Below are 22,953 nucleotides of genomic sequence, written 5' to 3' on the forward strand. Positions count from 1 at the left end.
GAATATCTAAACGTATATAGAAAAAATGCATTTGTGTAAATACAATTCAAATCAAATTTGAGAAGTAAAAGAATAAATAGAGTGATCTAAAAACAAATCTTTAGGGATATGTACTTAGTCTACTTAAAGAGATAGTGTTATATCAGACTTCAAAGGAATCTTTGAGGATTTTTCAAAAATGAATTTCCTGCTCTTTGATTACCAGTCTGTCTTTGTCATCACTTGAAACTAGAGACCATATTGTAGGCTTGGAAAAGATTTCAGGGCAAACATGTTCTACTCAGTCTAGCAGTGTGGAACATAGTCTAAAATCTACAAATAACTGTTGTCATCTCAAAATCACATGTGTAGGTTTTAAGTTTTATTATTGCTATATTTGTTCTCCTGAAATTCTGGAGCCTATGAAATAGAAAAAAAAAAACAAAACTAAATTACTGAAACATGTAGAAGGAAAATGCTCAAAATAATTGAGTATTCAAAACAATCACATTTCTCTATTTTAATATAATATTTTAAAAGAAAACAAAACAATTGTCTTTTTATTGCCTATTCTAGAATTTACATAAAATTCCATCAATTTTATTAAAAATTATAAGAACAATAAAATTGTAAAATGATTTTAAAGATCTTATTAGACCTATAGTAATGCTATAGTAATACCTTGTCTAGTAGAGTTGGAAAATAATCTGTATGATATAAACTGATTTTCCAAGTAGCTAAAGTTTATGACTATAAAGGCCAGTTCTTAAAAATGCCAATAGCTGTCATGAAACAAAAATATAGTACACATCATACTGCCTTATAGAGCAAGGTGAAAGTCAGTTTAGGTTTTTTTTCATGACATAATAATTATTAGTCCAACCATGATATTCACTTACTGCAAAAGACAAAACTATTCCCAACTGTTCTCCAACACCAAATAGCCTCTTACTATTATATACTTTTATATATAATTTTATATGCTTTTTATAATTTTATTGTCTTTTTTAAATGTTAATATGTATTATTTTTAACATAGTTAATAATTGTCCTTTGAGAGCAATTCAGAAATCAATTTTGAACTTTGCTTTACATTCAATTCTAAATCACTTTGACTTTCCTGGACAGAGAAAGAGAGAAACCTTTCTCCATATTTCTCGTACGTACTGAACTCCTGACAGATACATACATATAGTATAGGAACACACAAAATAAGCAAAATTTATTTTTAGTTTGTCTTGTGTTCAGAATGTTGAAAATCATTTGAATTCCAAATAAATGAAAATTTTCTTTTGTTAGTACAATGAGAATCTATAATATTAAACTATCAACAGAAATTTGAACTTACTTTATATCAAATAGGAAAATGAGGAGTCTCTAACAGGTATACAAAAGAAAACACAGAGACCAATTTTTTGGTTGCATTTGACTAATCATTGGTGCCATATACTTCTTGCCAATTTGGGGACTTGTGGTCCATCTCATTTTCAAATCCTGGCATTAAATTTACCATCTTTCACCACAATGCTAGATGGGAAGAATTTTTGCTTGCTCAATTCTTTATCTCCATGCAAGCTTATGAATCCACATATTCATTTAGAAATGCATTTAGCCACATGTGTTCATGCTCATGTCTTACACTCTCCCTAATCATAAATAAGGAAAGTAAGACAGCTGAATCGTCAACCACCATTTCTTTGAAATCTCACTAATATAATATGTTAAGATACACAAAGCAGCTAATACCATTTTAGTAGGTGTTCTCATATACTGTGAAGAACTTGATCTAAAGGACTGTTGGTTCCATGAACCTAGTATCAAAAGACTCTGTAAGAATGAGATCTAGTCCAACATATTTGGAGAATAGCTTATCATTCTGGTCCTCTTTTGCACACTAGCATATTAAAAGGCCTGAGGATTCTTACTTTAACAAACCTGGGTAACTTTATTTAATACAATAAAACCTTATAAATTTAGGTCAATTTATGAACAAAGGAAAAAAAAACAGAAAAATATTGTATATTGTTTTCTTGATAGAAAAAGCTTTTATTGTGTTGTATATTATATGTGATTTCAAGCTATATCGTGGAATGTGAAGAGGCTGAATAAGGGAATGGTTAAGAACTTAAGTTCAAGTCCCAACTCCGGAGTTGTTTACACAATGTACTCTGACATTTACAAGCCATGTAGCCTTGACATGGTACTTAAAACCTGTAAGCCTCATCTTCTTCATTGGGAAAGTGGTAATATTAGTCTCTATATCAAGGGATTTTTATGAAAGGGGAATGACATGATACATACCTGGCACATAATAGGAATATTATAGATGATAGCTAATATTAACATTTTTCAGCCCACACAAGTTGATTCCCTGGTGCTGATGAGGCAAGTTCAGCTTAAACTTATAGTTACAGAAAATCCTCATGGAACATCTTAGGTGTCAATGGATGAGGAAAAGATGTGTTTTCCAAAAATAGAAACCTGCCAGGATTTTATTGGAGGTTATCCTAGGTAATACTGAGCAGTTAATGGTTAGAATTTGAATGGGACAAGTAGAGAAAGCAATCAGCCTGGTCATCAAGGTTCAAACCATATGTGGCTAAATAGATATGTACCTTGAATCATTCCAACTAGAAGTACGGTCTCCACAAAATCCCCAGGTATGATGTGGCAATATGTGCTTTTCTGAGCTCCCTTTTTTTATATCCTTTAAGGCTTTTCAAATTTCCATCTTTGTACCTCTGCTCTACTATTTTTCCATTCTGACTTTATGCAATTAAGGCAGTAGTTATTCATCTCTGCTCCATCCAGAGTTTCTATCTCATCTATAGACTATAAGTTCTTCAATTACAAGGGGAGCCTGGCACATAGAAAGTGTCCAAGAAATGTTTGCTGAGCCAATGTTACTATGGGGCATAAAGCACCTAATTATACCTAATGACATAAAGGTGCTAATTTGTGTGAATCATGAAGTGATCACTTTGTTACAAATTAATTGCTATTTTAAACTTCCTGAATATCATATTGGTGTTTAGAAATATTGAATCAATTGATTTAGTCGCAACGTTTTCCAAAAGAAATTTAGAAAAATATATCTACATTTTTACTTAAAAATTATTTTAATAGTAGCATACCTAGAAGTGCTTTTTGGTAAATATACATTAGTAACCAGTTCAGAGTAGATTGCAGGAATATCATGACTCTACTTTTTTTTTTTTTTTTTTTTTTTTTGAGACAGAGTCTCACTCTGTCGCCCAGGCTGGAGTGCAATGGCGTAATCTCGGCTCACCGCAAGCTCCACCTCCCGGGTTCACGCCATTCTCCTGCCTCAGCCTCCTGAGTGGCTGGGACTACAGGCGCCTGCCACCACGCCTGGCTAATTTTTTGTATTTTTAGTAGAGACAGGGTTTCACCACGTTAGCCAGGATGGTCTCGATCTCCTGACCTCGTGATCCGCCTGACTCTACTTTTGTGAAACTTGTTTAAAGGGTGAATCTCCTCTAAACAGTGAATGTCCAAGTTTCAAAAGATTGTATGACTATGGTGCAACTTATTTCTATTGTGAACAAGTTTTACATTTCCGTAGAACATTTACTGAGACTTGAAAGTCCAGGTAATTTTACACTATATATTATTTTTTTACTAATTGCTGCTTAATGCAAAGTCAGCTTCAGGCTTAACAACTATTGTTGCCTGTCCCTGCCTTAAATAGTAAAAATCTATATTGTGCCTAAGGTGGTGATTTACTTTGAAGAATGTCCAAAGTATTTTTTTCTACTTGTTGTAATTTTAAAAATCTCCTTTATTTTTTGTGCAGTATCTTTGGCAGGATCCCAGTGCTTGGATGGGTATAGTTCTAAAGCTTGCCCATATTTTATTCTGATGTCTATTTTAATGTACTTTATGGGGAAAATGTTTTTTTAAAGTCCCTTTTCCTTCACACTATTCAGATGATTCCTCTAAAGGAAAAGGATATCATTATCTTAAATAGCCTTTGATTTACATTGCCTCATCTGTTTTGTTATTCAATCAGAAACTTTCTAAAGGACAAAGGGAAACTTTTTAAGTGCTAAGAAGAAACAAAAAATGCTATCTTCCAGTGATGCAATAATAATAATTTTTAATTCTTTTAGATCCATGTGTGTTTTGTTTTTTTTTTCCTCAATGTGGTAAGTCTTGCAAATTGTCCAAGGAATTAGGCTAAGTACTATTCTTTAGTCTTAATTGCAAGCATGTAAAATAAATTTTTCATTAACTTCACTTGGTACTTTTGTTGTTATGGAGGGAAAAGTAGGCTTACACTAGGCACTTGATCAAATTTCAACAGTTTTAAAAGCCGTATCGTGTTCTTGGTTGTTTCCTCTGTTTTTGATAACTAAAACACCATCTTAAAAGTTAACCTTAGGGAAGAACTTTTGACTTTCAAACTAGTGTATTCCACTATACCATTTTGCCAAATGCCAAATGATGATCAATGTTTAGGGCCAAGAGGCATTCAAAACCAAGTTCTGGCCATCTTGTATGAATACTAATCACAATGGCACACAAGTGCAGGTAACATGGAAAGCTTCCTGAGTACCTCCCAGCCAGAGAGAGTCATGGAAAACCTCTTTGTAATTATTAGTAAATGGAATAGCCGTCCCTCTCTTTGTCAGCAGGACATAAGTCAATTTAGCCATTGGGGTGAAGGAAGTGGGTATGAACAATTTAGAGGCATCAGTCTTTGCATAGAGGTCATGGCTTTTGTCATTTATTCTCAGATAGTGGGGTCTGCTTTGTATCAGAGCCTATGTTTTACTAGTTATGCCCTGCCCACCCCTCCCACCCCCACCTTTTTTTGAGACAGAGTCTCACTCTGTCACCCAGGCTGGAGTACAGTGGCGCTATCTCAGCTCACTGCAATCTCTGCCTCCTGGGTTCAAGCGAATCTCCTGCCTCAGCCTCCCGAGTAGCTGGGATTACAAGAATGCATCACCATGCCCAGCTAATTTTTGTATTTTTAGTAGAGATGGGGTTTCACCATGTTGGCCAGGCTGGTCTCGAACTACCGACCTCAGGCAATCCGCCCACCTCTGCCTCCCAAAGTGCTAGGATTACAGGCATGAGCCACTGCGCCTGGCCCCCTTCTTTTGATAGAAGTGCAAACTGAGACCCAGAGAAATAATCTTCCTACTTAAAATTATGCCACTTGTTAGTAGCTGGTCCAGGATTCAGACTCCAAATTTATGTCTATTCATTTACTGAGCAGGCACTGGAATACCTATTCAGTCTCCACAAAGTGTTTTATAATCAAGTTTGAGAAAAACATTGGGTTGAACGGGGATTATAATACAGTCTAATAAGTACTGATAAATGCATAGACCAGGTGGTGTTAATGCAGAGAAGCCACTTAACCACAGTGTGCTACTGGTCAAAGAATATTTTTCAGAGAAGGACTGGGTCAGCCATAAACCTTGAGCAAGTGATCTAGACTTCTGAAACTTCAGTTTCCTTTGTTAAAACTACCTTGTAGAATGTGGTGGAAGGTTACAGAGAACGGTTACAAAGCATCTGGCCCATAGTAGGTGCTCACTAAATGCTAACTGGAGTTATTATAAATGGAATGAGGCTATCTAACCACCTTTTAGGAAAGACAGGTACTGTCTAGGAAAGTGTACCTTAACCTAGAACCATTCCTGTCAAGTATTCCTCAAGCCACAAAGTTGCAGATGAGGCCAGTTTTGGGTGGTTTTTTGAGTAGTATGTGGCAGCCAAGACGACAGTGAAGAAATCCCCTGGAAATGTCTCCAGCAAATGCAGTAGGTCCTTTGGCACAAATGCCGGAAGAAACTGAAGGAGCTGGAAAGAGCCCTGTCCTAGGAAGTGGGTGACCCTGACGGTAAAAGGAATGTTGGCAACAGATTTATAAACTTCTTTTTTACTTTGAAATAATGTGTTCCCAGTGAATCATCTTTCCAAGTTCTGGATACCCACCAAAGCTGGGGAAATGGTACAATCACCAGAGCAGAGGTTTTTATCCTGGGAGTCCATAATAAATGGCATGCATTTCTGCTATGTGCACTTTTTTCTGGGGAAAGTGTTCATTTCTTAATCAAATTCTCAAACTGCAAATCATCAAACTGCGGAAATGTTGTGATCTACCGCATATAAAGTAACTCAGTCCTTTAATTCAAGGTCACAAACAATTCTGGCATAAAGAATTCATACATAATTTGGGAGCCCCACAATTATTATTTCTCCAACAAAAATATTTATTAGCCAGGAGTGCTCCCAGGGTTCTTGGCTTAAGCAGACACTTGGACAAGTGAAGTACATTTGGCCAACTTGTGCTTCTCACATTGGCAAGCCACCAGCAGCATTTTTCACATTGGTAGTGCCCCATGGAAACACCTTGTGGGATTTTACCTTGTAAACTCATTGCCAGATTCCTCCTGTTTTGGCGGCAGATATGCTAATTTCTTGCCAAATGGGTTTAGGCAGAAATGACTCTAGTATTGCAGAAATATATATCCTTTTTTTTCTTTTAGAAAAATGCATAACTATTCTCAAAATGTATGAAGTGATAAATGTTCAAGGCACTTTTTGCTTACTCAGGGGTAATTGTTTGAATGACCTAAAAGTCATGCCTTCCAACAAACAATTACATTCAATATGGCTTTGAAAGGAGCATCCCCCAACATGCATGTGCACTTTTTTAAAAGTTAAAAATATTATGCATTGTAGTTACCATCTGTGATTTGCTGGAAAAGACCCCAGTGGGAGGAAGCATAGTATAGATGTATTGACTTCTAATCCTGCTTGCTAAGAAACTTTGACAAAGTAGTTAATCTCTCTGCAACTTGGTTTCTTTAACTGTAAAATGAGGGTAACATGGCAAGATTGTTGTAAAGATTCAGTAAGATAAAGATTGTAAAGTAACTGGCACATAGTAGATCTATTTAAGTCCTCTTCCTCTTCCCATATCTCTTTACATAATGGTCTCCTGCCTTGCACTTCCCCGGTCTTCATGTTTTACACTAGTAAATAATAATAAGAAGAAGTATGTCATAAATGACAGTAAGTTAAACGTTGGGAACAAATAATAGAACAAATTAAACAAACACAAGCATGTACAACTGTTACAGGAAAGGGGTCCCTATCCAGACTCCAAGAGAGGGTTCTTGGATCTCACACAAGAAGGAATTCAGGGTGAGTCCACAGTGCAAAGCAAAAGAAAGTAAAGTGGTGAAAGAATAGCTACTCATAGACAGGGTAGGGCTTCCGAAAGTAAGAGGAGGAACGCGTCCACCTTAGGTACAATGCTTGTATAAATAGGATGAACAAAAAGATCATGGGGAGATGTGCTCTGTTACAAGGGTTTGTGATAAAGGATTAATTTTCTTAATTACTATGTTTTTCATGAATCAATATTATTATCTTTAAAGCAAAATTAGGAATGCTTTTGTTCTTAAGATGTCAGGATATTAGGACACTCCCAACTCTGAGTCTATTTAGTAAACATTATCAATCTGTTCCCTTAACTGTAAACACCTAGAGGCTACGAATACCTAGCTTTCTGGGAATGCAGCCCAGCAAGTCCCAGCCTCATTTTTCTAGCCCTCACTCAAGATGGGGTCGCTCTGCTTTGAACCCCTCCGACACAACTTCTCTGCTGGGTTTGAAGCACCCTTAGGGAAAGCAGCTGAGGCTAGGATCACATGACTGAAACAAAGAGCTAGGTAGTAGCAAAGAGAGGGCCTTCTAAATGACACTTGGAATTTATTTCCATTATGGGTGATGTCAGTGAAATATGATGTCACATAGTACTCAGCTTTGAAGAGATGGCCTTTTTCTTCTATCCCAACTCTACAGGCTCCTGTGCAAAGAATATGAGAGTGCAATGAGTAAGAAGAAAAAGAAAAGGAAGGAAGAGAATTTGCTTAAAGATTAAACAACAAAAAGCTTATAGAATGAGTCAAAAGCCTGCAAAAAATTCAGAGTTGCACTGATTTTATGAAACCTACTAAAGAAGTCATTTCTTTTAGAAGGGCAACTGCTTAAAATGATGATTAGTTTATTTAGCAAAGAGTTTAGACCAGGGATGTCCAATCTTTTGGCTTCCATGGGCCATATTAGAAAAGAAGAATTGTCTTGTGCCACACGTAAAATATACTAACACTAAGGATAGATGATGAGCTAAAACAAAAAACAAAAAAACTCATAATGTTTTAAGAAAGTTTACAAATTTGTGTTGGGCCGCATTCAAAGCTGTCCTGGGCCACATTACAGCCTATGGATCACAGGTTGGACAAGCTTGGTTTAGACTATATTCACTGTTTGATTAACATAATAGTATAAGGACAGAACATTATAGATTACTAAAAATCATGATTTTAAAAAGTTGGGAATGAAAAGGATTTAATTTAAACTAACAGTTAAACATTTGTTCAGGTATTTAGGAACATTTGGTTAACTAAAGCTATTTCTCAAAATTATAAAAGTATCATAGCATAATGTGTTTTTTTTTTTTTTTAACTGAGTTCTCTTTTCTTGAATATTGTAATAAAACCTATATACCATCAATTCAGCCACTGTCCTCTTCATCTTCTATCTGGCCCAGTAGACCATCTGGTTGATAATTTGACGTTGTGAATATTTTTACTTTTGCCAGCTAAGCTCTTCCGACCTGCTATCACAGATGAGCCACTCACAGGTATTATCATCAGCTTGTTTACAATGTCTCTCATGTCACCATTTGAATTTGGTGAAGCAATCAGAAGAAACAGCAAAATTACGTTCCTTTCTGAGTAAAGCTAAAGAAGAAAAGCTTTTCCTATGCAACTCAATCCAGACACTGGTGTTTCTTGGGCCCTCAGCCCATTGCTGATTGAAGCAAGCACCCTTACCTTATTAAGTTCATTAGAATAGAACTTTATCATAGTTTCTTGGTGTTTTGTGCTTGCTGGAAGAATTTACTGGAAGAATGCACAATAGATTATTTTGCACTTTCACAAATCACAAAAAATCCCTCCTCTCATGCCACCTTGTAATGCAAGTTGTTTAACATGCCTGTTGATCTAAAATCTTCCACCTTTGCCAAATTACAAAGGTGGAAGAATCTTTGTTAATGATCCTTGCAGTTAAAAGTTACTCTCACTTTGCTTAAATACAAAATCAGCAATGCAAAGGATAAACCGAATCTCCCAAGTAAAAGTGGACAGAGGGGCTCTTGATGCCTCCTATTGTTCCTGATAGAATACCCCCTAAGGCTCATGCACTACACAGTGTGATGGAATAAGGATCCTACGGATCAGATGAACCCAGGACTCACAGCTCACCTTCCTTTCATTTTCCGGCCAGGAAAGAAATAACATCTCATTAAAGTGAACATCTCATTACCATATAAGAAAATTATTGCCATGCCAGAGTTACTTCCTGTCAAGTTCATTTCTTCCTACATCAGTGGTAGGCAGGCCTGTGCTTAATCTATTAACCATCACTCAGCACTCAAACTTTTTCAGATTGTTTGGTAAATTCATGATTCACCTTTGGTAAATTCATGATTCACCCAAATGACTTTACATGTTTTATTTACTGGGTTTCAAGGGCAGGAATTTTCATGTACGTGGTTCTAATCCAGGTGGATTTTCCTATTTAGATGTTTTGGTTAATTGCACAGTCATTTACTTTCTCACCAAGAGAACGAATGAAGGTTGTCAGATTAACAAAAAACAACAAAAAAGTAGATTTCTCAGTTAAGGTTGAATTTCAGATAAATTTTAGTGTAAGTATGTCCCAAATGTCAATTTTTTTAATCTGAAATTTAAATTTAACTGGGTGTCCCATATTTTTATTTGCTAAATCTGACAACCCTAAGAGGTTCTTCTGCAAATCGTGTTACCTGCTCCTCAGACATGGGGATTTATGGTGTTCTTAAGACATATTTTCTGTGGTCATTTCCTTATGATAGATAACAGAACAGGAAATAGGGGCAAAATATAAGAAGAAAAAAGGATTAAACACTAGATGAATATCAGTGGGATAGTAAGAACTAAATGAGTTATCTATGAAAGCCATGGAATTTTTAGACTGTCAAAAAAGAGTAAAATAAACAAGATTTCAAGATATACCCAAAGGTTCATTTCAGCCATTCTTCCACAGGCATTAAAATGAATGTTTTTATCCGTCCTCTTGATTTGACATTTTTAATCAAACCCTCCACCTAATATGCTTCTGGCTTCTGATATTTTCCCTTTGAACTCACCATTAACTTTGCCTTCCCAATAGGACAGAAATATATTAAATGAAACAATTGTACTTATAATCACAGAAAATCTAGTGTTGTTTCTTTATTAGTTTTTTCTTGCAGACAGAGATGGAAACATTAACAGTTTTCTGCTACTTTTTCATAAATGTGCTCACAGGCTTCTGAGCAATGGTCATATCTAATGTAAATGCTAAACAAATCATATATGTTAGTGAAGAATAACAGATTTCTGAGATCATAACATGCTTATTTAATGTTTTAAAATAAAGTAGTTCTTATTTAAATTTTGCAATAGACAGGGAAGTGTGGGTGCAGGGAAAGGGAAATCCCTGAGAATGTGGCCAAGACGTGAATTCATGGATTATACTGATAAATGCACAAAAAAGATAAATTGGTGACAGATGAGGAAATGATACTGGCTTTGAAATGCAATTGAGTCTCTGGAGTAGTACCCAGCCAGGTGGCCCCCTGTTCACAATGTCTCCCTCTCGGCCTAATGGCCACGTAGTTGAATGATCAAGGGGCAGACACCTGACCCAAGATAGGTCAAAAAGTTGCTCAGCCTTTGGAACATTACAGTTGAACTGTGACACAGAGAGAAGTTGCTGGAGCTTAAATCTGGTAATTGCAGAGCTCCAGAGAAGGAATTTTTATAGCCATAATCCCAGAAGCTGCCCTAGTTCCTGTTTCCTGAGTTTTGGTTTCAAGCTGTATCGTAGATTGCATGAACTAGTCCAGTGTTTTCCCAACAGAAGTCTTTTGCTTAAGTTAGTCTAGAGTTGGCTTTTGTGTTGCTTGTGAGCAAAAAAAAATTGTATGATGCTTTGGGCTCAGTTTCATTTCTCATTTTCATTCTCATTCAACCAAATATGTTGTTAGGGGAGTTAGAGTGGTAAATGAGATGAATAGGATTTCTGACTTCATGGAGCTTTCAGTCTAGCAGAAAAAAACGGATATTAAATTATGGAAATTAAAGGCTTATATTAATTCACTGAACAAATATGTATTGAGGCACCTATTATATACAAGGCATTGTTCTAGGCACTTGAAACATTTGTAAAGAAACAAAGATCCCTGCTCTTGTATTTTTTTATCAGGAGATGAAAACAGTAAGTAATAAGCATAGAAATACATAAATAAATAATACGGATTTAGAAGGTGGTAAATGCTATGAAAATAAATTAAAAAGTAGATCAGAAGGAATGGTATATCAAATGTCCTAAAGACAGAGAGAAATTGCAAGTTGGAGTAACTGCAAGATTATTAGAGCTGAAATATCAATGACAAGGCCAGTGGCTCAAATGAGGATGAAGAGGTTAGACAAGCTAGATTGTTAAGGACTTTATAAGCCATCTTGAGGATTTTGAACTTTATCCTAAGGCAATCTGAAGCTACTTAAGAGTTTTAAGCCATAGACTGACATGATCAGATTTGCATTTTAAATTTATCATTCTGCCTGCAACCTTGAAAACGCATTGAAAGCTAGCAGCAGTGGATGCGAGAGAATAATTGGGAGGCCCTTGGCCTAGTCTAAGTGAGAAATGGTGGTGCCCTTGACTAGCATGTGTTTCATGAATTGGACAACGATAGCTGTGATAAAATGGCTGTTTTCTACACTTAGACTTTCAGCTCTTCATATTTAGAATAGATTAATGCCTGTCCAACTTTACCTCTGTTCTTTGGGCTTTGGTGCTATAAAAGCCAACTTTAGGGCCAGGCGTGGTGGCTGATGGCTGCAATCCCAGCACTCTGGGGGGTCGAGGTGAGAGGGTTGCTTGAGGCCAGGTGTTGGAGACCAGCCTGGGCAACATAGCAAGGCCCTATCTCTACAAAAAATTTTTTGAAAACTTAGGTGGGCATGGTGGTGGTGAATGCTTGTAGTTTCAGCTACTGGTGAGGCAGAGGTGGGAGGATCCCTTGAGCTCAGGAGGTTGAGGCTACAGTGAGCCATGATCATGCCACTGCACTCCAGACTAGGCGACAGAAACCCTGTCTCAAAACTAACAAATAAAAATAAATAAATTAAATAAAGCCAATTTGTAATGTTTGGCACATTTTCATTTGCTGTATACTACCAAGTTTAATTTGGCCTCATCTTTAGGAACAAAAATATAATATGTAGGTATTTAAGGAGTACAGCAGCTAAGGGATAGGTATTAATTATCCTCACCTGGCTCTGTATCTAGTCAGTCATACATTGCAATCCTCCAACACAGTATAAACAAATCGGGTATACAACACTTTATTAATAGGGCCTTCTCACTAAATCCTTATATTCTTTTCTTTCCTAGAAAGATAATGTAGGTGATATAGAAGAAAACCACATCTCCCTTTAACACTCCTCTATTAAGTCTAGATTAAGGGTTACATACTGGTAAACAATGGACCATTTGGCCTTCAAATTTTGTTGTGACATTTTGTTATAGTCACATAGGGAATATTTTTTAAAGGCAATGAAATTGGACAGGTATTCTACTTCATTGCTACACAAAGCAATTTTGTACTTAACAGGTGTTTCATGGGTGTAGGTGTATGTTAAGAATATGACTCCCAGTAATTATATGAATGTTTAATTGTTAGCTTAAATACTGATCACACTCTTAGCAAACAGTTCCTCACTTCCTTTGACCTGACTGTAGTTCAGTCTCTTTCAATTTTAAAGACCTAGACAGAACTTACATGAACCTATAACTCCATTTCTTCAGCTCTTGACATCCCCAAATTTAACTAAAAGGAAAAAAGAGGCTTTTTAATTATCTTATTATCTCTTCAAAAATTTTCCTTCTCATTCTTGGGGAGGTGAGAAAGGAAAAGAAGAGTACCAAGTACCACATTTTGTAATGTTGTGACATGCATCCCTGTAGCCCAATTAAGTGTCCTTGATTCTTGAGAAGTCTACCTTTCCTAAAGAAGCTGGGGGAGTATGGGGGGAAGAAGAACATGGTTTCTAACTGCTCCCATTGCAATATCTTATTATAAAAATGTACTTTTTAAACATAGGTTTCCATCTTGTATTACTTTGTGTCTTGGAGTCTCTCCCTTATGAATTACTTTGCATCTTGTTTGAAGTGAACCATTTTAAAATTTATATCCTGTCCTACTTTTATTTCAAGACTTTACTTAAAATATCTTTTTTCTCTTCGCCCTACTCAGATATGCATGAACATTTTATGCATTTCACACTCTTTAAGATGGAGAAAATAATATGCTAATCTGAATAGTGGTAAAATCAGAGTAGAAATAGAGATTTTATTTTCAAAAGAGTGGACAATGATGTATCTTCCTATTGCTGTCAGTTATCTCCATTGTTAATATAACATTCATGCAGAAAGACATGGATTAATAAAGCAATTGAGTAGAACATGAATTTGGGAGTATTCTTAATTTGATGGAGCCCAGCATAGTGAATGTTTGCTTCTTGAGGGCAGGTAACCATCTAACTTTCTTTTGTATCCCCTATTCCACTCAAGAAGTCAAACACATATACAATAGTTACTATTGTATTGAATGAAGTAAGTTGAAATTAGTAATAAATACTTATGAAACATCCAACACTGATATGGTTTGGCTGTGTTCCCACCCAAATCTCATCTTGAGTTGTAGTTCCCATAATCCCCACATGTCATGGGATGGACCCGGTGGGAGGTAATTGAATCATGGAGGCCGTTACCTTCATGCTGTTCTTGTGATAGTGAGTGAGTTCTCATGAGATCTGATGGTTTTATAAGGGGTTTTCCCCCTCTATTCGGCACTTTTCTCTTCTGCAGCCATGTGAAGAAGGACGTGTTTGCTTCCCCTTCTGCCATAATTGTAAGTTTCCTGAGGCCTACCCAGCCATGTGGAACTGTGAGTCAATTAAACCTCTTTTCTTTATAAATTTCCTAGTCTCAGGTATTTCTTCATAGCAGCATGAGACTAGACTAATACAGTAAATTGGTACCACAGGGAGTGGGGTGCTGCTATAAAGATACTGAAACTGTGGAAGTGACTTTGGGGCTGGGTAACAGGCAGAGGTTGCAACAGTTTGGAGGGCTCAGAAGAAGATAGGAAAATGTGAGAAAGTTTAGAACTTCCTAGAGACTTGGAGAGCTCAAAGACAGGAAGATATGGGAAAGTTTGGAACTTCCTAGAGACTTGTTGAACACTTTGACCAAAATGCTGATAGTGATATGGACAATGAAGCCCAGCCTCAGGAGGACTCTGATGGAGATGGGAACTTGTTGGGAAATGGAGTAAAGGTCACTCTTGCTATGCAAAGAGACTGGCAGCATTTTGTCACTGCCCCAGAGATCTGTGGAACTTTGAACTTGAGAGAGATGATTTAGGATATCTGGCAGAAGAAATTTCTGAGTGGCAAAGCATTCAAAAGGAAGTAGAGCATAAAGGTTGGAAAATTTGAAGTCTGATGATGTGATAGAAAAGAAAAACCCATTTACTGGGGAGAAATTCAAGCCTGGTGCAGAAATTTGCATAATTAATGAGGAGCTGAATGTTAATCACCAAGACAATGGGGAGAATGTCTCCAGGGCATGTCAGAGACCTTCAGGGAAGCTCCTCCCATCACAAGCCCAGAGGCCTAGGAGGAAAAAATGGTTTCCTGCGGTGGGCCCAGGGACCCCCTGTTCTGTGCAGCCTGGGAACATGGTCCCCTGTGTCCCAGCTGCTTCAGCTCCAGCCTTAGCTAAAAGCGGCCAAAGTACAGCTCAGGCCATTATTTTAGAAGGTGCAAGCCCAAAGCCATGGTGGTTTCCACATGGTGTTGAGCCTGTGGGTACCCAGAAGTCAAGAATTGAGGCTTGGGAACCTCTGCCTAGGGTTCGCAGGATGTATGGAAATGCCTCTATGTCCAGGCAGAAGTCTGTTGCTGGGGCAAAGCTCTCATGAATACCCTCTGTTAGGGCAGTGCAGAAGGGAAGTTTGGGGTTGGAGCCCCCACACAGAGTCCCCACTGGGGCACTGCCTAGTGGAACTGTGAGAAGAGGGCTGCTGTCCTCCAGAACCCAAAATGGAAGATCCACTGACAGCTTGCACCATGCACCTGGAAAAGCCACAAACACTCAATGTCAGCCCGTAAAAGCAGCCAGGAGGGGAGCTGTACCCTGCAAAGCCACAGGGGCAGAGTTGCCCAAGGCTGTGGGAGACCACCTCTTGCATCAGCATGCCCTGGATGTGAGACATGGAGTCAAATGAGATCATTTTGGAACTTTAAGGCTTAATGGCTACCCTATTGTAATTTGGACTTTAAGATTTAAGTACTGCCTTGATGGATTTCAGACTTGCATGGGCCTGTAGCCCCTTTGTTTTGGACAATTTCTCCCATTAGGAACAGGTGTGTTTACCCAATGCCTGTAGCCCCATTGTATTTTACAGGCTCATAAACAGAAGGAACTTGCCTTGCCTCAGATGAGACGTTGGACTTCGACTTTTGGGTTAATGCTGGAATGAGCCTAGACCTTAGGGGGGCCGTTGGAAAGCCATGATTGTGTTTTGAAATGTGAGGACATGAGATTTGGGAGGGGTCACAGGCAGAATGATTGTTTGGCTGTATTCCCACCCAAATCTCATCTTGAATTGTAGTTCCCATAATCCCCACATGACATGGGAGGGATGTGTTGGGGGGGTAATTGAATCATGGGGGCAGTTACCCTCATGCTGTTCTCCTGACAGTGAGTTCTCACAAGTTCTCTAATGGTTTTATAAGGGGCTTTTTCCCTTTTTCTTGGAACTTCTCTCTTCTGCCATGTGAAGAAGAATGTGTTTGCTTCCCCTTCTGCCATGATTGTAAGTTTCTTGAGGCCTCCCCAGCCATGTGTAACTGTGAGTCAATTAAACCTCTTTTCATTTTTTTTTTTTTTTTTGAGACGGAGTCTCGCTCTGTCGCCCAGGCTGGAGTGCAGTGGCGGGATCTCGGCTCACTGCAAGCTCCACCTCCCGGGTTCACGCCATTCTCCTGCCTCAGCCTCCCAAGTAGCTGGGACTACAGGCGCCCGCCACTACGCCCGGCTAATTTTTTGTATTTTTAGTAGAGACGGGGTTTCACCGTTTTAGCCGGGATGGTCTCGATCTCCTGACCTCGTGATCCGCCCGCCTCGGCCTCCCAAAGTGCTGGGATTACAGGCGTGAGCCACCGCGCCCGGCCTAAACCTCTTTTCTTTATAAATTACCCAGTCTTGGATGTTTCTTCATAGCAGCATGAGAACAGACTAATAAAATTCCTAAATTTTGCTAGGAATTACACCAGGAAAGGTCAAAGAAGAGATTTTTGACTAGGAATTCAGTGCTGGTTTATGTGACTATCTAGGGCTGGTATGTGACCACATCCAAGAAAGAGCCATGTTTATGAATGAAGAGGCTAAAAAGCATGCTAAATTACACAAGTGATCCTCAATTTTGAGTGTGTTGCAAAATCACCCAATTTGGGGCTTCACAAAGTAAAGAGTGCTGGGCCCTACTTCCTGGGAATTTCTGATTTGTAGATCTGGGATGGGAGCTGAGAATTTGCATTTCTAACCATCTCACTCCCAGGTAATGCTACTGCTGCTCATTCAGGTAGCACACTTTGCAAAATACTGACTTAGACCTTCCTTGGAGAGTTGGCCCAGCTCGGGGAATCTGAACACGCTGCTTGCTCTGTGATCTGCACAGAAAAGAAGTGATTTCAGAGATTTCCAAGAGCAGTACAGAGATAATATAACTAAGGGGGTCTCAGAATAGTGTTAAGGGTCTTGCTTCCCCCTGATTTATAGGATTGACTATACTCTGGCGGAAAAAGGAGACAATGTCTTCAATTCCTCAGGTGTGAGTTAGAATCAACTGAAATAAATTAAGTGGAATATAAAATGCATGGAATTGCCTTATTAATAAAGATTGGACATCCCTAATCTGAAAATCTGAAATCTAAAATGTTCTAAAATTCAAAACTTTTTGAGCACCTACATGATGCCACAAGTGAAAATTTTCATACCTGACCTTATCTGATGGGTCACAGTCAAAACAGAGTCAAAACTTTGTTTTGTTCACAAAATTATCAAAGATACTCTAGGAAATTGCCTTCAGGTTATATGAATAAGATATACATAAATGAATTTTGTCTTTAGACTTGGGTGCCATCCCCAAGGTACCTCATTATGTAGATACAAACATTTCAAAATCCAAAAAAAATTCAAAATTCAGAGCACTTCTTATCTTAACCATTTTGGATAATGGATATTTAACCTTTCAGTTAAATACTGTACTTTCAGTTAATGTAATTTAGCAATGTAAGATCACATACATGTATCTAAGATAATTTATAAAATGTTTATACCCTAAAATATCTTTCCTTCTGCAAAGAAAGTTTGTGCTCCTTACTTGACTGTGCCAGTTCATGGTAAAATGGAGAAGGTGGAGAAAGGTCAGCCCAGGGAAAGGGGAAAGTCCATTAACCCAAGATAAATTATTTAGAAGAAACCATATCCATTCTCTACCCATAGGCCTTTCAATTCAATTATTGCTATCTTCCAGGTAAATAGCCTTAGGAAATTTCTGAAAAAGTGGCCAGGGCTTCAGTAAGCAGGTAGCATGGGGATGCATGTCACCCATTGCAATACTGAAATGGAAACTACCTAAAATTTAGAACTGTTTTTACATGCTTCATTGTGCTCAGCTAATTGGGTTTCTTGAATTTTAGAACTTGAGTACAAAGGTCGTGCATACTTTTTTGTGTTCCAGCTGAATTTCATATAATGTTGTAATCAAGGACTTCAGGAGACATTGGCATTATTTTTCTTTACAGATTTTCTTGGACTCAGGTGGATTTTCTCAATTTGCCAATAAAAAGGAATAATGATATTACATTAAAATGAACTATGTCTCAAAATATAAAAACCTTTTGGTAATCAAATGGTTAAATACTCATATTTAATTTAATCTTATTTTTGTTAATTTGAAAATAGAAAAAAAAATCTGCTAAAGATCCTTTCAAGGGAAAGCTATAGCTCAGCTCATGTATAAAAAGCCACATAAAAATGACTCTGGAGACCTTGGCTACACGTTCAGCGGTCAAATATTTCAATGCTCTGTTGCTCTCCTTCCTGTTACAGGTACATGTGACAGCACTGCAGCGATGAGTGGAATTTTAAAGAGGAAGTTTGAAGAAGTTGACGGCTCCTCACCCTGCTCCTCTGTGAGGGAATCAGATGATGAAGTTTCCAGCAGTGAAAGTGCTGACAGTGGGGACAGTGTCAATCCATCCACTTCTAGTCATTTTACCCGTGAGTACTGAAATCAGAACCGAAGTCAATTGTCTGGTTCTACAGCAAAACTAATTGTGTCATTTTTATTTTTACCTTTCATGCTAGCTATATATATTTTCCCATCAACCAAATACAAAGAACACTTACCCAAAAATGAAATATTTTTCGGGTGACTCAGTAGATTCCTTTATTTAGAATACTTTTTTGCAGTGGATTATTTGATTGTATTAATTAACTAATTTAATTTAAAGATCACATTACATTATTAATACTTTCCCAAGTAAACACCTAGTACTCTGGGAATAGATGAGGGAAGACAAAGAATAAATCCAGTTTCAAAAAAAAAGTATCCTTTCATAATTGAAATGATGTTCTGGGAGAAAACATTTTAAAAGGCATTATTAAGGAATGGAGAGTCTAGATTATGATGAGAAGGAGTTTAGGCAGCCAGGGATTAAGCAGAAATGTGAAGGCAGCAAGTCTCCCCCAATTGTGCAAGTGTGTACAGTCTAATGGCTCTTTCCTAGTAATTCCTCTAGTCTCTCTTCTCCAGTATTTAAAGCCCAACAAGAAAAATAAAAATCTATGCTTTATTTATTGTATTTTTAAGGTTTTTGTTGAGATGGAGTCTCGCTCTGTCGCCCAGGCTGGAGTGCAGTGGCATGAACTTGGCTCACTGCAACCCCCTCCTCCCAAGTTCAAGTGATTCTCCTGTCTCAGCCTCCAGAGTAGCTGGGACTGCAGGTGCATGGCACCACACCCAACTAATTATTTTATTTTATTTTTTGTATTTTTTTGTATTTTTAGTATAGATGGCGTTTCACCATATTGGTCAGGCTGATCTCAAACTCCTGACCTCAGGTGATCCACCACCTCAGCCTCCCAAAGTGCTGGGATTACAGGCATGAGCCACTGCATCCAGCCTATGTTTTCTTTTTGATTTTTTTTTTTTTTTTTTTTGCCACATTGTAATGTCAGCCCTTCTGTCAGACAAGATAAAGGGAGGTTTGAAGGACTGATATGAAAAATTCTTAAGGTAATGTAATCTATAGTCTAAAGGAAACTGACTAGCATAGTTAAATAATCTTTTTAAAATTTATGTTCCTTAAACAAGAAGATTTTAATATGTCTTAATATCATGACAGATAACTGGTCTTGGTTTTTTACTTTCCAATTAGTTAATGTTATTAATATATGATTCTATAACAAAGAATTTACTTTGGCAATGTAGCAACTCAAACAACTAAATGATTTAAACATATTTTTAAGAGGTAATAAGGAACTCAATAGCTGTTGAACATGAAATAAATATAGTAAAATCAATAGCATTCCATTAAGCAAGCACAACTAATTAGACAATATGATGAAAAGATGATTATAATTATTATAGCAGAAAAATTTATAAAATATTCAGGGATAAAGTTATTGTGTGATGTAGGTGGTCTACAAATACATTTACACATATCATGATGGTATGAAATGAGCTTGTGCTTTTGACTCAGAAGAAGAGATGTATTTATGTTTTGGGTCTTAATACTAGTAGTGATAATAACATCATTATCTCACATGGTATTGCAAAGATCAGACAGAGCAAGTGAGTTAATACACATGAAAAAACGTTGTAAAATGTCAAGTACTAGGCACATGTTAAATTAAAAATTATGATCATAGCTTACATTTATTGGATACAGACTATGCTCCAATAGCTTTATAGACATTATCCATACTCCTTACAGCAATTCTGAAAGTAAGTAGTACTACCTCCAATTTACAAAGGAAACAACTGAGGCTCAGAGAGGCTAAGCGTCTGGCAAAAGATCACACAGGAGTTGAGCCTGGATATATATACATGTCCTACCACATAGCCTCTACCTTTTGCATGGTCTTATTCCGCCCCTTAATTATATAACATTGGACATATCTTTAAAATGTTATTTCTCATGAGTTATAAAGGAAGACTTAATTAGTGAAGAGGCAGATTATGTTTCTGGATATAAAGGTCTGGATATTAATGGTTTCAACATTAATTTCTAAATATAAGAGTAAAACCAAAACAAAATCTTCAACTGGCATTTCTAGGGCGCCCAGGCATTTCTAATGTGCCCTACCTAGGAATGCATAGAAAATCCCAACATGTTATATATGAAAATTTTATATATAAGAAGAAAACATTATAAGATAATGAGAAAGGGAAAGACTATTTAAGAAATGGTTATGGTCTTAGGAAATTTGAAAAAGAAGTGATTTAGACTCACGTCTCACAACATATGCCAAAATACCAGATAGATTACATGGACAATTTTTTTTAATAATGAGGAAAGTTACATTTTGCCAGACATTTAGTAGAATCACTATATGAACTTTGATATGAGAAGAAGAAATAATCACATTGGAAAATACTTAATATATTTAATGATGTAAAAGTATTAAACTTATTTGCTATTTAAAAAAAGCCCAAAGTGAAACAGTTTATATTGGAAAAAATATTTACATTATTTTCTGGATAGAGTATAGCAAAAGTACATGTAATTTCTTGAGATAAACACGAAGACACACATCTCCAAAGAAAATCCACATAGTAGGAAATATAATTAACAAATGTTTTAAAGCATTTAACAACAATAGTAACAAAGAGGCAGATTAAAAAATGCTAATGAGATTTCATTAGTATGAAATCACAGAGATTTCATCCCTTGAAATCGGTACTCATTTCTCCAATAAAAAATACTAATACCTAAGTGCTGGTGAAGGTTGCAGTACAGATTGTAGGCACACACATTGCTATGAATGGCAGTGATATTTAGAAAGCACTTCGGAAATACAAGAGCCATAAAAGCATTCATAAGTGTCTACTTCAGAGAATTTATCTGAAGAGAGAAATATTAAAAACAAGGTGAAAACTATATAAATGAAAATATTTGTGGTTGATAGTAGTCCCAAACAAGAGGGGTTGGGGAGGAGAGAGAGAAAGGTAACCTAAGAGTGAGGAAATGATCCATTAAGTTACGGTAACTCATTCAATTAATTTATTTTCATGATAGTTATGAAGACCTTTTGGCAATATGTACAATGTTTGTGAAATAATGATAAGTAAGAAAAGCAGAAGACAATATTTTATCTATACTGTCAGGCAAAGTCTAAGTCTGTACATGCACAAAGGTAAAGAATGGTAAGTTGTCCTAAAAATTGGAAACAATTTGATTTGTTGAGGAATTAAAATTATGGATGAATTTTTATATTTATTAATTTTTATTTCTGTTAATTTTATATGTATTCTCACAACAAGGTGTCCAACTTAAACTGCTAAAAATTATAACTGTAGTTTATCTTGTGTTTATGTTTGCAAAACAGCAGATTGAAATGGCCTGGTGAGCTAAGGTATATATTAGTCAGCAAATATAGACTTTGTTATAAGTTATGTTCAGCCGAGATTATTTTTTTCATTGAAGAAAGTAGACTTATTTTACGATGTCTAAGAAGTCATTGAAGTGTTTCAGCACATCATTTAATATCAGTGGTAGTGGCAATGGTTAGTTTACTAACATGCTGTTTTAGCTTTGTATTAAATATAATCTGGCAGAGATTTTTCTTGCTTTTTAAAAATAATTCAAGAAAAGATTTAATAAAAAGTGCCCTTTTAATTTAATAGTGCTTTTTTCACTATATTCACATTAGGAAGAGAGACATAAAGTGGGAAAAAATAGTAAAGACTCAAAAGACAAAATTTCTGCCTGGAATATTTCTTGTAGAAAAGATCTGAGAGGTTGGGCACAGTGGCTCATGACTATAATCCCAGCACTTTGGGAGGGTGAGGCAGGAGGATTGCTTGAGCCCAGGCATTTGAGACCACCATGGGTCTCAAATCCCCATCTCTAAAAAAATTAAAAAGAAAAATAGCCAAGTATGGTGGTGCATGCCTGTGGTCCCAGCTACTTGGGAGAATCACTTGAGCCCAGGAGGTTGAGGCTGCAGTGAGCCATGATTGCACCACTGCACTCAAGCCTGGGTGACAGAGCAAGACCCTGTCTCAAAGCAAAACAAAAACAAAAAACAAAAAGAAAGAAAGAAAAAGAAAGAAAGAGAGAGAGAGAAAGAAAGAAAGAAAGAAAGAAAGAAAGAAAGAAAGAAAGAAAGGAAAAGAAAAAAAGAAAGACGAAAGGAAGTAAAGATCTGAGGTTTTTTTGTTTGTTTGTTTTGAGACAGTGTCTCACTGTCATGCAGGTAGCTGGGACCACAGGTGCACACCACTGCACCAGGCCAATTCTTGTATTTTTTTGTAGAGATGGGGTTTCATCATGTAGCCCAGACTGGTCTCAAACTACTGGGCTCTGACAATGCCCCTGCCTCTGCCTCCCAAAGTGTCAGGATTACAGGCAAGAGCCACCATGCCCATCCTGTGATCTAAGCATTTTAGCCAGTGTGAGAGGAGTAGCTAAAAGAGTTTCTTGTTTCTAGAAATGTATTTCAGATTATTTGCTAGTCCAAAAATTGATA

General features: G+C 37.0%; 1 protein-coding gene across 6 annotated transcripts in view, besides 4 other annotated features; it reads left to right on the forward strand.

Annotated features, from left to right (window-relative positions):
- CSRNP3 (cysteine and serine rich nuclear protein 3) overlaps positions 1-22,953 on the forward strand; it is a 219,710-nt gene that overhangs the window by 107,039 nt on the left and 89,718 nt on the right. For all 6 annotated transcript variants that reach the window (XM_047445908.1, XM_024453155.2, NM_001172173.2 and 3 more), the window contains one exon: positions 18,307-18,477. In XM_047445908.1, coding sequence (XP_047301864.1) covers positions 18,330-18,477 — 148 coding nt within the window. In that variant the 5' untranslated portion in view covers positions 18,307-18,329. The remainder of the gene's footprint in view (positions 1-18,306; positions 18,478-22,953) is intronic.
- Positions 3,715-4,232: an enhancer, noted in NCBI's record as "NANOG hESC enhancer chr2:166436961-166437478 (GRCh37/hg19 assembly coordinates)". NCBI's record gives its function as "activates a minimal SCP1, AML or CMV promoter by ChIP-STARR-seq in naive H9 embryonic stem cells {active_cell/tissue: H9 hESC(naive)}" and the evidence as "EXISTENCE:reporter gene assay evidence [ECO:0000049][PMID:30033119]".
- Positions 4,233-4,750: an enhancer, noted in NCBI's record as "NANOG hESC enhancer chr2:166437479-166437996 (GRCh37/hg19 assembly coordinates)". NCBI's record gives its function as "activates a minimal SCP1, AML or CMV promoter by ChIP-STARR-seq in naive H9 embryonic stem cells {active_cell/tissue: H9 hESC(naive)}" and the evidence as "EXISTENCE:reporter gene assay evidence [ECO:0000049][PMID:30033119]".
- Positions 18,330-18,379: an enhancer, noted in NCBI's record as "active region_16726". NCBI's record gives its function as "activates an Ori minimal core promoter by ATAC-STARR-seq in GM12878 lymphoblastoid cells {active_cell/tissue: GM12878}" and the evidence as "EXISTENCE:reporter gene assay evidence [ECO:0000049][PMID:35858748]".
- Positions 18,450-18,499: an enhancer, noted in NCBI's record as "active region_16727". NCBI's record gives its function as "activates an Ori minimal core promoter by ATAC-STARR-seq in GM12878 lymphoblastoid cells {active_cell/tissue: GM12878}" and the evidence as "EXISTENCE:reporter gene assay evidence [ECO:0000049][PMID:35858748]".

This window comes from Homo sapiens, chromosome 2, assembly GCF_000001405.40.
Source record: "Homo sapiens chromosome 2, GRCh38.p14 Primary Assembly".
NCBI classification, from domain to species: Eukaryota; Metazoa; Chordata; class Mammalia; order Primates; family Hominidae; genus Homo; species Homo sapiens.